Source organism: Homo sapiens, chromosome X, assembly GCF_000001405.40.
Source record: "Homo sapiens chromosome X, GRCh38.p14 Primary Assembly".
In the NCBI taxonomy this organism is placed as follows: domain Eukaryota; kingdom Metazoa; phylum Chordata; class Mammalia; order Primates; family Hominidae; genus Homo; species Homo sapiens.
Window position 1 is genome coordinate 151714796 of NC_000023.11, and position 14892 is coordinate 151729687.

Genomic DNA, 14892 nt, shown 5'->3' on the forward strand with positions numbered 1-14892 from the left:
TTCCTTCTTCTTTTCCTCCTTCCTTCCTCCTCTTCCTCCCACCTGGCCCAGGGGCTCTGGGGGAAGAAGAGGCTATTTGTAAAAGGAACCTTATATAAACCTGTCCTGATTCCTTTTACAAATAGCCTCCTATTCCCCCAGGGGCTCTGGGGTTGTTTCCTAGAATGAAGGGTTCACCACAGGTAGTTGTAGCAATCAGGGTTTTCCAGAGAAACAGAACTGATAGGATGTATATATGTATGTATGTATGTATGTATGTATGTATGTATGTATGCATGTATGTATGTATATATCTGCATATGCACAAGTATATAGAAATTTATTTTAAGAAATTGGCTTATGCGATTGTGGGGCTGACAAGTCTGAAATGTGCAAGGCAGCCCTGCAGGCTGGCAACTCAAGGAAGAGTTGACATTGCAGTCCTGGGGTAGAATTACCTCTACTTTGGGAAACCTCAGTCTTTGCTCTTCAGGCCTCTCAGCTGATTGTGTGAGGCCCACTCACATCATCGAGGATGGGTCTCTACTTTATTTCAAGTCCACTGGTTGTAGATGCCAACCACAGCTACAAAATGCCTCCACAGCAACACCTAGACTAGGGTTTGATGGAGTCACTGGGGACTAGAACCTGGCCAGGTGACACATAAACCTGACCATCACAGTGGTCTAATCAGTAGGGAAGCTGAGGGAGAACTGGGACTTAGAAGGTGCAGGGCCTGAGGCCCCTGGGGGTTCTAGTGGCTGCAGTCAGGTCCCACCTCTCTTGCCCTTCTCTCCCTTTGTTATGGCTCCTGCCTAGGCTGACCTACTTCAGGAAAAGGCTACCTCCCGTGTCTGGGGACTCTGGATGGGGGAGGTAGGATACGCTCTCCAGAGAATCCCTTCTGAAGGTGTGGTATGGCCTGGATTGCTAGCACCTAACTCTGTTGTGGCCACTGTTGGCTCTCGGACCCTGTGCCAATCCCTGTTTCTTCATAGAAATGATGGAGGGTGGACCCCACCCTTCTCCCCATGGGCTAAATATGGAGATTCATGAGCCAGAGCAGTTCTCACAGGCAAAGGCACGGAATTGTATCTCTTCTCCTAAGTTGCTTACAGAGTAGCAGAGGAGAAGGCCACTGACCTAGCCAGCAAGATACAATAGAAACAGAAAGTACTGTGTCCAAGGCCTCAGCCTAGAGAGGGAGTCTCACTCCACCCCCAGATCTGACTATATCTTCCTTGAGCTCCTGTTTCCGGAAGAGGTGATTTTCTGAGTGTGACTCCTCTGTTCCTGGCACCCTGTGCATCCTTAGCCATAGCTTACAAGAGAACAGCTGGTTGTGATGGCAGGAGGCCCTCCCAACACCAAGGCGGAGATGGAAATGTCCCTGGCAGAAGAACTGAATCATGGACGCCAAGGGGAAAACCAAGAGCACCTGGTGATAGCAGGTGAGGATCCCCTAAAATACCCCTAGGCTACAGCCAACTGTGTAGATACGTGTCTATACCTGTGCATGTGTGTGTTGGAAAAGGTGCATGTGTGCACGGAAGTGTTTGCACATCTGTGTGTTGGCCGGGCTTCGAGGATTTGTGGGTTGATGTAAGGGAGCTAGGGGAAAAGGGATAGATGATGTGAGCATTTTTCCCTGGGAGGGAGGAGGATGGGAACAACATGTGTAGTACCTCTGTCTCCCCCTTATCCAAGCCACCACAGTCTCTGTTGCAAAATACTCAGAGGGCTCAAATTATGAGACCAGAGATCAATTCTCTCTCCCAATCCTCCAATTCATTTTCCTGCCATTTGGAGGAAAATCCAAATTCCATGATCTATAAGATTGTATCAGCCTCCTCAAAACGTTTCATGCTATGATATAGACAGAAAATACCATTTCTATAGCACACAAAGGGATCCAGATCACATTGCATTTATGTTTGTTCTTACGATGCTCCAAGCCTGCTTCTTCCCCCAAAGACCTTGCATTTGCTGTTTCCTCTGCCTGGAATGCTCTTTCCCTCAATTTCCCAGGGCTGGGTCCTTTTTTTCCTTCAGGTCCCCACCTCAATTGCTGTCTCCTACTTTTCTAGGAGGAGCCCTTTCCTTCCACTATGTTACCCTGTTTTGATCATTTATGGAGCCTGCATCTCTCTGTCTGCATTTGCAAGGATAGATTGCTTTCTGTTTTACACCTGTCATTCCCCCTTATACACAAACAGATGGTCAGTTCCTTGATAGCTGGAATCTTGTTCTTGGTCATTGGTCTCTAGGTTACTGGAGAGTAACCTAGTCTCGAGCTCAGCCCTCAGGAAATTCCGGTTTAACTTTTGAACAGATGAACAAACTGAGACCTGGGATCAGCTGATGGACAGTGGTTAATGGGTGCTGAGTGATTCCCAAGAAAGCTGGAGACTCTGTCTTCTTTTTGGTGTGTTTTGTGCCCAAGAAACCCTGGTGCAACTTCTATGGGTGCTCCTGGAGCTTCTGTTCTTCTCTCTAGAAATGATGGAGCTTGGATCTCGGTCCCGGGGTGCCTCCCAGAAGAAGCAGAAGTTGGAACAAAAAGCTGCTGGCTCTGCTTCAGCCAAACGAGTTTGGAATATGACTGCCACCCGACCCAAGAAAATGGTACTGTATGGGGTCCTCAGCACTTGGTGGCCAGGTTGGGGTTGGGAGTACTGGTTGTAGGGGCTCTAGCCTGACCAGGTCAGGCAGGGCTAGACGTTGACTTGTGAGGAGGAGGAAGCTCCTGTGCTCCAAGCTGGCAAATGAGGACAGGAAGTTCCAATTAAAGGTCAGGGTCATCCTTTCCTATGCTGGGGGTTCAACCTTGGGAATTCAGAATGCCTGAAACAAATATTGCATGGGGAGTACATAAATACTTTACTCTATAAATCTATTGTGTGAAATAACGCTTTCCTGTATTTAAAATTATGTGTGTGGTACGTGTGTGTGTGTGTGTGCGCGTGTATACACACAATAAGTCAGGTGAGGCTCCTATGCTTTCTGGCTGTTAAGAAATCCAGTCAAGTGGACTGGCATGGTGGCTCATGCCTGTAATCTCAGCACTCTGAGAGGAGGAGGCGGACGGATCACTTGAGGCCAGGAGTTCGAGAACAGTCTGGCCAGCATGGTAAAACCCCGTCTCTACTAAAAATACAAAAATTAGCTGGGCATGGTGGCACATGCCTGTAATCCCAGCTACTCAGGAGGCTGAGGCATGAGAATTGCTTGAACCTAGCAGGCAGAGGTTGCAGTGAGCTGAGATCATGCCACTGCACTCCAGCCTGGGCAACAGAGTGAGACTCTGTCAAGAAAGAAAGAAAGAAAGAGAGAGAGAGGAAGGAAGGAAGGAAGGAAGGAAGGAAGGAAGGAAGGAAGGAAGGAAGGAAGGAAGGAAGGGGAAAAGAAAGGAAAAGGAAAGAAAGAAAGGAAGGAAGAAAGGAAGAAAGAAAGAAAGAAAGAAAGAGAGAAAGAAAGAAAGAAAGAGAAAGAAGAAAGAAATCCAGGCAAGTGAATCTGACTATTTTGTAGGCAATCCTTTTAAGCTACATTCAATATGGGTGAAGGAATGTTCTAGAACAAATAGTGGCTATAATGTTGCAAATGATATTGGGAAAACACAGTCATTTTGGAGGGGGAGGGAAACCTGACTATTCTACAGAATTAAGTGAGTCCCACAGTTCTGTATCCAATCATTTTAGCTAGCTACATTCACTGTAGGTAAGGGAAAGTTTTAGAAAAATTGTTGTTATGCTGTTGCAAAGGCTGCTGGGAAAAGGCAACAAGATTGGAGAGGGAGGGAGGCCTGACTGCTCCAGGAAATCATGTGAGTCCCATAGTTCTGTACTTTAAGCTACATTCATTGTGGGTGTTGAATGTTCTAGAAAAATGCTGGCCACATTGTTGCAAAGGATACTGAGCCATTTTGGAGAGGAGGTAGACCTGACTGTTTTAGGGAATCACGAATCCCATCATTCTGTAGCCAGTGCTTTTCACCACATTCAGATGGATGAGGGAAAATTTTAGAAAATGGTGGCTTTACTGTTACCACAGTGAAGTTTGAAAGTTACTGGGGGGCAATAAGGTTGGAGAGGGAGGGAGACTCGATTGCTGAAATGATTTATTGGGTGGCCCCAGTGAAGAATGAGAAAAAAAGCTTCCAGGTTAGAGGTTTCCTGGGAATAAAAATAAGTCAAATATTGAGTTGACTTTTTGTGTCCAAAGACAGAAGCCAAATCAAGTTGCTCCAGGAGGTCAGGCTCCTGCAAACCACTAATGTCCCTGAGACTAGGGGAGATATAATCTCTGGTTTAATTAAAGTTGACTACAAGGGCTAGAGGTAGACTGTTTGAAAATATAGACATTATATTGAATTTATAAATTAAATTTAGAAATTTAGAATTAGGAAATCTAATTTACTAATTCTATTTATTTATTAATTCATTCATTCCTTTATTTTTGAATAAAACAGTTAATGGAACTGCCTCTAGGAGAACCATAATATGCAAGGGTGAGAAAAGTTAATAATGCTATCCTGCTGACTTGGAAAAAAGCAGTGTGCCTTTAAAATTACATGGAAATTAAAATAACATTTTTTGAAATGATTAACAGAGAGAAGTTGGGACTTGGTGGGTTAACAACAAACTATGTTATCTGAAACAAACAAACAAATTCCAGCCATCAGCCATTCATCCTTATTTTTTGCCTTCAAATCTCTCAAAATTTTTTTTGTCCTTCTGATTCCAATTTATAGGAAAATCAAGCAATGGTCTGAAAATTTTTCTAAGAGACATCATTGATCAAATTATAGTCATGGGGTCTCCCTAATACCCATTATCTTTTTAATGCAATTTTTGAAGTATCTTAAGAAAATAAAATATTGTGACCATGAACTACGGTTCATAAAAAAGTTGCACCAATATCTGTGTGCTCCTCTTGAGAAAGATTAGTTATGCCTTATTGCAACAAACAGAGTGCAGTGGCAAAGTTCCTATGAAAATCCTTTACACAGAAATTGATCCACCTTCAGTTTGATGTTGTTACTTCGGAACAGAAGAGGGCTGCAGATATTTCTCAGGTGACAGGTGAGCCTTGGTTGTCTATTTTTTTGTAAGAATGAGGCAAATAGAAGAGCTAACCCAGTACTCTGTGCGCCTCAGTCAGGCCTCTCAAATGACAGGCTCTACTTCAGCAGGGTGAGCGGGTAAGGAACTGGCTGTCATGTGGGGCACCCTGAACCCTGCCAGAATGAAGACGGTTTTATTTTGTGTCACTTTCACCCCAGCTTTCTTATTCATTTGGTTCAGGTTTTGGCTTGGCGGTAAGTGCCTGGCTGCCAACCAGGAGTGAGAAGTGTGGATGACTGCTTCCTACATAGATCATTAGTTAAAGGCCCTGTTTTCCTCCCTCCCCTCCTTTCTTGTGATATGCCGCCATTGTCCTTGCAGGTCTAAGTCCTCTCTGGATGCTGCTGGCGGGGGCCTCCTTTGTCAGCTGAGTCCCATCTGCTTCCCATCCACAATGAGGCCTAGTTCCTCCATGGACACTTCCTAGATTCCAGAATTTTATTGAATTCTTTCATTAGCTGATGCCTCTTGTGTTGTCTTCTGTCTTATGGGTTTGTACTGTTTTACTGTCTTCACTGGCAATTAGTGGAGCCTTAACAGGAAGGAGTGTTAAATATGAGGGACATCGTAGTGTAATGGCTGAGAGTATAACCTCTGGACTGAAATGTCCTGGGTTCAAATTACTGCTCTGCTACTTCCTAGCTGTGTGACTTGGACAAGGTAATTAACCTCTCTGTGTTTCAGTTTCCCCTACTTTCAAAACGGGATGATAATGATACCGTTTCACAGGGCTGTGACGAGGAATCAGTCACTTAGTATTGGTAAGGGCTTAGAGGATGGCATGGTCCCTGGCATGTGGTGTGTGTTAAATAAGCAGCTTGTGAAACATTTCATCTTGAACTGGAAACCTAGAACTATGATTTGAGCCCAGGCAGGTCTGGCACCAAAAGCCACGCTCTTTTCCTCTATCCCCCACTGATGCTTCAAAGGCATCAGATGGCCCTGGCCCAAGGGCTCTGGGCCAGAGATGTACATGCTAGGGAGTTGTTGGCAGATGGATAAAAATGAAAGCCACAGGGATGGCTGGCTGAGCTTACCCAGAGGAGTTGCTGGTTTCCCAGTAGCCAGGGTTCTAGCCTTAGCCCTGACATTTACCACGCATCCTTGGAAAGTAAAGGCATCTCGCCAGGCCTCCATGGCCTGGGCTGCCAATCAAGGTTTTACGTTCTCCTTCAGTAGGTTGCTCAGCCTCTCAGCTAATACCTGCATGTGAAAGTTCTTGCAGAGGACAGGGACCCCTGTTACTGCTCCTCTTTTGCCACAGCCTGCCTGGATGACCAAGAGCTACCGAGGAGCATGGTGTGGGTGGGGTGGTGGCCAGCAGCCTGTGTGGGGTTCCCAAGCTTTCCTAGCGGCCTGAAGCTGCCAGCCCTTGATTCCAGAGACCAGGCACCATGTGATTCCCCATGGGGTGCACCATTGGCTCTGGGCAAACTGGAGAAGCCACTCATGTGGGGTTGGGCAGGCTACTTTACTGACCATTCCTTTCTTCAGGGGTCCCAGCTGCCAAAGCCCAGAATGCTGAGAGAATCAGGCCATGGGGATGCCCATCTCCAGGAGTACGCTGGCAATTTCCAAGGCATACGTTTCCATTATGATCGGTAAGAGCTGAGGGTCTGTGGGCCCTGGCTGCTCAGACAGGGCCCGGAGTGGGGCAGAGGGGCTGGTGAGCAGCCTGGCCAGGATGGAGTCATGAGGGCCTGGAATGCCTCCCTGTCAGAGACCATGAGTACCCTGGCTCCCTGCCCATTTGGGGCATCCCAGTGCTCTGCGGCCTAGCCGAGTTGGGCTGGACTGGGCTGGGCCAGGCTGGCTCAGGCTAGCTCAGGCTGACTCCCAGCCCTCAAGGCCCTAGGCCCTCTTTACCATGGAAGAGGACTGGAGGCTGATAGAGTCACTGTCCAAGAAGATCACGACCTTACCTGCTTGACCTCACTGCCTTCTTGTGCTCCCTGCCAGGGACCACCAGCAGCTTTGACCATCTGTCTTTTTTCTCTCCCAGCAACCCAGGGACAGATGCAGTGGCGCAGACTAGCCTGGAAGAGTTCAATGTACTGGAGATGGAAGTCATGAGAAGACAGGTGAGGAGGGACCCAATCGGTGGGTGCAAGCAGAATCACAGTGCCTTGGAATAGGCAGGGCTCGACAGCTGGGGTCCTGTAGTCCCTTACAGTCATCTTTCCCTTTAGCGCTGGAGGTGGGGCAGATTCCCTTCCTCTTCCTCCTCATCCCCATGGCTCTGACACCCCGCATAGATGTCCAGCCTCAAACTCACTGCTGTCCCTGAGATGCTGGTAGGGAATAGGGGCAGATAAAAGGTGGAGGAAGAGGGAACATACAAGGATAAGGGTTCTATGTCCAGAGAGAGAGTGATACCTAAGGGTCTGAGAGAGGGGTCGCCTTTGTTCAAACCAAACCCAGACCTTCTTAGGAGGAGATCCTTTCTTCCTTGGCTCCCCGGCGCAGCTGGAATGGGCTGGTCTCTTCCAGAGAAGGGAAGTGAACATAAGGGAGAAGGCAAAAGTGGGGCCTGCAGACGTAGCAGCCAGGTCTTTGGTCCCGCGGACCTGGCCCAGCCTCCTGCTTCTCACTAGGGGCGCTCCCCGCTCCACCGCCAAAGGGCAATCAAGCCCCTTCTTGCTCTAACTTTATGCTTTTCCCATGGCTGTGCTGTGGGCTTCTGGAGAAGAGCCTCGCTCAGCAGCCCTGCCTTTGACTCCTCTGCAGCTGTATGCAGTCAACCGGCGTCTGCGCGCCCTGGAGGAACAGGGCGCCACCTGGCGCCACAGGGAGACCCTGATCATCGCCGTGCTGGTGTCGGCCAGCATTGCCAACCTGTGGCTGTGGATGAACCAGTGATCGCCCCAGCGCGGCCTCCGTATTGGAGCCCTCCCTGCTTCCCCTTCTTTCTTTCCTCTTTCCCCAGGCCGCCACTGCCCTTGCCCCTTTCATCTCCCAGCAGCCCTCAGGAGCGTCAGGATCATTTTCAACTCTGGTTAGGCCTCCTACCTGGGGAGGCCAGGTCACTGCACTGGGAGGTCCTGGCTGCTGCGAAGCTGGAGGAGGACTGCGTGGGCTGAGATGCCACCCTTTGAAGGGTGAACAGCATGGCGGCATCTGGGCCCCACAGTAACACCTAGTGGCAACCTTGCCTTCCTGACCTCAGCGGCCCTTCTGTTCCATCCTCTGTGGGCAGGGGTGTGGCTTTGTTTTCCTCCCTCGTTTGCTTCCACCTCGTGCACAGCGCTCTGCACAGACAACACGCTCAATAAAAGTTCAGCCATAGCAGCAAAACCCTGTGGCTGAGGTTCCTGTGTCCAGCACTCACTGGGGGCAACAGTGGAGGTGGGGTGCGCTGGGAAACAACAGCTCCTCTTCACAGAGACCTTGTGGCTGGGACTGAGCCTCTGCCATTGCCCCAGGGGCCCTGGTTCCCTCCTCCCTTTCACCTCCCCCACCTCCCTGTCCCCAGCCCCAGCTTTGCAAAGTTCTTCCTGTTGGGCTCATGCAAACCAGTGCTTGTGGGGGTGTGGTTCTGGGAGCATGTCTGCGCTGTGTTGCAGGGAAGCAATCAGAGGAAATCTCCTGAAAGGGACCAGAAACCTCATTTGCGCAAGAGGAAATTGAATTCCAGAGAGAGGAAACATGTCCCTGGGTCATCCAGTGAGACAGGGCCTGGATGTGAGTTCTCTGGCGTGAGTTCTCCTGAGTCCTACGCTAGGGCTTGGCCTGCCTCCTGCAGACAGACTCACTGGAGATGAGGTCCTGCCTCAGCTCTGGAGGCTGAACGGGAGCTACACATACCCCTCACCCTACCCACCACACACTCTGGGTCCACAGCCCATGAAGCACACCTCAGACAGGGTGAATAGCTGGGCTGTCCAGTGGGGCTGAGCCTGAGAGGTGGAGAATGTTGCCTGCCATGTGGGGGCCTGACCACAGTGCAGATGTGCCTGGTGCAGGAGGCCTGCAGAGGAGCTGCAACCCCTTTCCCTGGGACCAAGGGCTCAACACACATGTCTCTGACCCAGAACTTTCTCATTGGCTTTAGTTGCTAAGTGCACCTTCCCTAATCCCCCAAATCTGTCAAGGATTCTCCATCTGTAAAGACTGGGAAGCGTGTTAGTCCCTAGGTATGAAATGAACGTGTGTGTCTGTGTATGTGAGAGAGAGAGACAGAGAAGAGACAGGGAGAGGAGGGGAGGCGAGGAGAGAAGAAAGGATGGAGGAAGGGAGAGGCAGAGAGAGAGATACAGTCAGCGATACAGAGCGGCAGAGGGAGGGAAGTTAGAGTAGAGAGAGAGAGAGAGAGAAGCTTGAGTCCCAGAGCCTGCTCTGTCCCTGCTCCACCTCTTTCTCTCTGGTCCTCAGTGGGCTCCTATACAATGAGGGGGTTCTTCCACGCCTGACACTCTAGGGCTTGCAATACTTCTAAGATGAGGATGCAGGGCCTCCTGTCAGCCCTGTGGGACACGAGGCACGTGGCCCCTGGAGCCTGGGCCCTGCTCAAAGCAGAGAAAAGGACACCTAGGAAAGAAACACCAGAGAGAAAGATTCTCTCTCTGGTCCCAGAGCACAGAGGTAATCAAGTGCCACAGGAAGCCCCTCTGCAGAATGGGGAAACAGCAGCACCCAGATATGAGTACTTCTGGCCAGGAGAGCCAAGAGGGCCAGGGAGTACCAGGGGTGTTCCCTGTCCTCTGCAAATGGGGCCTGGGGCCCCAGGAGTCACCCATGGGCTAGATGGAAGACTGGGGGACCTCCTTGCAGGCCGCCCCTCCCCTTCCTGCAGCTTCAGGACAGAGCAGGACCCAAGATACAGAGGAATATTAAGGGAAGCAGGGAGATGGAGCAGGGGCAGCACGTGCAGCTTCTTGCCATCAGCCCAGTGCTCCAACTGCCATGAGTCCAGCCTTCACACTGTCTACCCCGGGCTGCCCCTTTCTCCGGCCCCAGTCAGGCCCCACAGGGAAGCTCAGAGGAAGAGGAGGCTGCAGCTGGGAAGGGCTGGGTCTGCCCTTTGGGACCTGAGTGTTTGTGAGCCTGCACAGACATGGACATGTTTGCAGAAAAAGTCTGGCTGAAAATATGTTGTGAAACAAAGGTTCACCCTTGGGAGCAATTTAGTTGAGTTGCAAACAAACAGCACGGCAGTGCCCTAGAGGAACGTCTCCTGAGCCAGGTGGGCTCATAAGGAGCCCGTGGCTGGGCCTCCACCCTGCCTTTCTGTGTGACCATTTGGCTGGTTCCCAGCAGGGCTGGAGGCCAGTTCCTAGAAGGGCATTCCTGCTCTATCTCTAGAACTCCCTGCCCCACCTAGAAGACCTCAGGAAGCTCCTGAGAGGAACTGGAGTCAGAGCTGCCCAGTCTGGGCCCCTCTGCAATGTTCCTTAAGGGGCATGGGGACCATATTGTGGGGGCTGGCACATCTGTGATTCCCAAGCCTCTGGGAGATCCAGGGAGGCTCGGGGGCAGAGTGCCAGGAGGCAAGTTGGCACCTCCTGCCTGGCCCTCTGGCTCTGACCCACCTAGAGCATTTGCCCATCTGATTGCATTTCTCTGCCAAACTGTCCTTGCCTTGCCCAACCTCTCCACCCTGAGCCCAGCCCTTCCTCCAGCAAGCCATGAACTTCCCCATGGTGAAGCAGGATGCTGTGGGTGAATGAAGGAGGGAAGGAACTCATTCTTACTTGGGGGTGGGGGAGGGGATTCTCCTGGCGTGCTGTTTTTCTCTAGTCTTTGAAGCTTCCCAGGGGCTGCCCAGGCTTAGTATTAGAGGGGTACACATCAGTCCTCCACTGGATCAGTAGCTTCTTGAGGGCACAAGGTAGCCTGCATTGTCTTCTGCACTCCTGGAACAAGTAAAGGACTGGCAGGATGGCCTCTGATTAGGGTCCCCAGAGATTGAATCTAGCCCTGGTCTTCCCCTCCTGGCCTTTAGGGTATGCCTTCTGTTGAAAACCTTTCCCCACCAAAGGGAGCCAATTCTATTCTTCGCTTCCTACGGCACACCTACTCTGTGCCATGCACTTTGCATCTTAAAAATATTTAATTACGCAAGTTGTGCATGAACACATTCTCCCCAAAAAGGCAAACATTGCAGGCCTAGCTAACACAGTCCCTTGCACCCCAAATGCCAAGTCCCTCCACTGAATTATTTCCCATGGTTTGGTTGGTGCGTATCCTTGCGAACTCTCTATGCTGTTCCATGCAGATTATGCGCACCTGTATGTATCCCAGGCTTTGCACGCAGGATGTCATTTAAGCCCCTCCTAGCAGCCCCCTGAGGGAGTGGCTTGTCTTCCCAGCTGGCTGCGCAGGTGGGCAAAGCTTTAATCCTCCATTTATGTAGTTCTCTGCCCTGCCAAGTGGGCCCCTGGTCCCCCGCCAGTCCTGGTCAAAAGCTGAAACTCAATATTCCAGTTCTTTTGTCACAGGCTGGCTTCCTGGCAGCTGGTGGAAGGTGGGAAGAGGAAGGTGGGCATGTGAGGAGGGGTACATGAGGGTGCATGGAGGGGACTCTGGTGTACCCAGGAGCAGCCTGAAATCCTGGCTTCTTGGAAAGGAGCCCAAAGCTCACTGCCCCAAGGGTCTTGCCTTGTTTCCCTTCCCTAACCCCAACCCTTCTTGGAGGCCAAGTCCAGGGGACCTGGCAGAGAAGGTATGGATTTTCCCCTCAGGCCAGCCCTACCCCAGGTACCTCTTCTCTCAGATTTCTCCCTGGCTTGACCTCAGATCAGGTGGACTGGTTGAGATTGTGCCAAGGTCTGGAGGCAAGTACACCAGGGCTGTGAGCTGGTGGGGTTGAATCCCCAGACACATAGCTCTGAGCATGCTCCGTGCAAGGCAGGGCTCCTCAGGGAGCTTGGGAGGGGCTGGCTTCTGGATCTGGGCAGGCAAGCAGCTTCTACAGCCAGGCAGCCCAGCACCCAGCCCTCGCCTGCCAACAGCCTGGGGTGTACAGTGCCCACAGACAGGCCAGCTTCTCCATTGGGCAGGTGACACCCTGGGGCAGCGTCTTGAGTTTGCCTTAGCCATGAGCATGAGCTCTTCTTGGCCTCTGCCAGCTTCTCCTGTTGGCCTCAGGCAGGGTGGGGCAGCTCTCTGACCCCGAGGCTGCAGCTAAGTTGTCAGGGGCTCAAGGGCCCCGCTGGCCTGAGGGGCAGGAATGGCAGGAGATCTCTGTTAGCTCCAGATGCCGATGAGCCCCCAGTGGTTTGTCTCTGACTGGAGGTTGTGCAGAAGGACCAACGGATGCTGACTGGCCAGGAGAGCCCCTGCCTCTGAAGCCATCTGATTGGTGAGGAAAGCGGCTGACCTTGGGCTGATACCTTTCTGTGACCACAGGCCAGTTACCTCCATGGGGGTACAGAACTGGAGTCCGTGAAAAGTGCGTGGGCCCTAGAACCTGGCTTGACATGGGTCTTCATATGTGTCATCTGCCGAGGGAGCTGAGGAAAGTGGCTGTGTTGGGAAACTTTGTCCCCTGTTAAAGCAGCCAAAGAAATTATTTGGGGCTCTAGGAGGGTGGAGGCCCTGAGTGCCACACAAAGCTTGTCCTGAAGCAGCTGGGACTTTGTCCTTTCCCAGGAGGGTGGCAGGGAGGGTTGCTGGAGCAGATTTGGAGCAGAGGGACGGAGGGCCTGCCCGACAGGCAAGCTTCAGTGGGAGGAAGGGGGGAACCCATAGGCCTTCACTGCCTGTCTGACTCCGAGCATTTCTGGGCCCCTCAGCTTCAGAGCACGGGCAGTGTTCACTTGGAGCCTGTGGCTCTCTGCATATGAGTAGCAGTGGAGGTAGGGGTGTGGGTTATGTGGGCTTCTCCCAGGAGCCATGCTGGGATTGCAGCCTTTGCTTTTGGCTCTTTGAACTGTACCCTGACCTCTTTCGGAGATCCTTAGAGGGGATCACCCACTTCAGGCCTCTCAGGCTTGGGAGCCAGCCACTCTGCCATTTGGGGAAATGCATGTGGGGTGAAGCCCTTGGAGCTTCTGGCTGAGGGAAGATTCTGGAGCCAGGCAGCAGGCCTGGGGCAGAGATAGGCTTCCAGGGCTGCTTCAGGCCTGGTACCCCGTTTGGGCTCCCCAGCTGAGCTTGCATCCATCTCAGCTTGAGCCCAGAGTGGCAAGTGTAAGCTCCGTCCATGTGAGACTGTGGCCATAGGAGGCAGCTAGTATTGGAGCAGCCTCATCTCTAGACATCCTGCCAGTAGCTGGGTCCCTGGGCCCCTCTTTCTGCATAGCTGGGCCCCCTCCAACTGCTCCTTAGTACCACTCATCAGTGACCACCTTCTCCAGAGGGAGGGACACTAGTGCTTGGACTGGACACATGCATGTGGCAGACAGAATATGTACCTGGTTGATCTGCAGGTGTCATGGTGGCCACAAAACTGCCAAGACCAGCCCTGGCCACACCCCCACTAAGCTCCAACACAAAATGGCCCCACAGGAGATGAGGCTGCATACATGGGTCTAGTGACAACCTGAAGGAGTTTGAAAGCCGGAGTGCAGAGTTTGGAATGTATTATTTAGATGATCCTTCCATCCATCCAACAAATACTGGACATGATCCCTAATCCTGGGATGTAGCAGGGAACAAGAAAATCTGTAGTTCATTGTCAGGAGATGATAAATCTATGATACAAATAAAGTGGGGGAAAAGTGAACATGAAACAAGGTAGACTTGGGAGAATCATTCATTCATTCATTTACTTGCCAAATATGTATCAAGCACTTATTACGTGCTTACCATTGGGCTCTGCTCTGCAGATTAATGACTAAAAAAATTAGATGAGTCCTTGCCACATAAAGTTTATTTCTAGAGTGCGGTCTTCTTTCCATGGGTTTTCAGAGGAGCAACAGACAGGACCAGGTGTAGTCCTATGAACTCACCCTGGTGATGTGGAAGATAAAGGAAAGGAAGAGCTGGGATCTGGAAATAGAGAAACAGTGAGACTGTGACAGAGTCTGGGCAAGGCCCAGGGCAGCAGCAGTCAGAATGGATGGAGAAGAAGGTGCTAGAGAGAGATTCCAGCAGAATAACAAATATGATTTGGGGAGCGGGTGCGAGGTATCAAGGATGACTCCTAGGTTTCTGAATTAAGCACATGTGGGGCAAGATGTGCCTTTCTCCAGATAAGGTGCTGGGGACAGAGGAGCTGGGGCGGAGGGGCAGAAGTTCATGTCAGTTTGAACATATTGGTTCCAGGGGCCCAGTGTCTTCCTCTAGGAGACAGAGTTGGCCCATGGGCACCTGAAGATATGGAGCTCAGGAGGGGCTTCTCAGTGAGGTCAGGAGCATTTAGGGAGATGAGCTACAATCACTAGGGTCCAGCCTGTCTTGGGCGGCCTTCTAGGAGGAGCCTCCCCTGGGGTATGGACTGTATGTGGCTGATGCCAGGCATATTGCCCCAGCCCCATCTTTGTCTATAAAGAGACGAAGCCTCCCTTGGCAAAGCAGCCCAATCATGGTAAGTTTGTCATAGTGGTGTCCACACTAGAGACTGTAGCCCCTTGTCAAGGTAGTGATCAACCATGCTGGCCTGCCAAGCCTCTTGGGCAAAGCCCTGCCTTTTGTGTATCCTTCTGGAGATTTTATTCATTCAACAAGTAGTTCTCAAGGACCTAGTTCATGAAGCTGCTGTGCTGGAGCCTGAACTCAGGGAGGCTGAGGCAGCTCAGACTCAAAGGCCCACTACCTGCCTAGTGAGTGCCCGGCATGCTCTCCACCTCCAGCTCCTGCAGCTCACCTTATCACAGCTGGGCCCCCCCCCCCACTGTCCCTCCTA

At 51.3% G+C, this 14892-nt stretch overlaps 1 protein-coding gene across 1 annotated transcript; it reads left to right on the forward strand.

Annotated features, from left to right (window-relative positions):
• Positions 1240–8399, forward strand: FATE1 (fetal and adult testis expressed 1). The gene is made up of 5 exons (NM_033085.3): positions 1240–1430; positions 2477–2604; positions 6600–6706; positions 7108–7186; positions 7833–8399. Exons 1-5 carry the CDS (start codon positions 1325–1327, stop codon positions 7962–7964), a joined length of 552 nt encoding a protein of 183 aa, NP_149076.1. The 5' UTR covers positions 1240–1324; the 3' UTR covers positions 7965–8399.

Bases quoted from the DNA above. Each gene is read 5' to 3' on its own strand.
- FATE1 (NM_033085.3), top strand. From the start codon at position 1,325: ATGGCAGGAGGCCCTCCCAACACCAAGGCGGAGATGGAAATGTCCCTG. The intron at 1,431-2,476 runs GTGAGGATCCCC...TCTTCTCTCTAG, and splicing joins AGAGCACCTGGTGATAGCAG to AAATGATGGAGCTTGGATCT. The intron at 6,707-7,107 runs GTAAGAGCTGAG...TTTCTCTCCCAG, and splicing joins ATACGTTTCCATTATGATCG to CAACCCAGGGACAGATGCAG.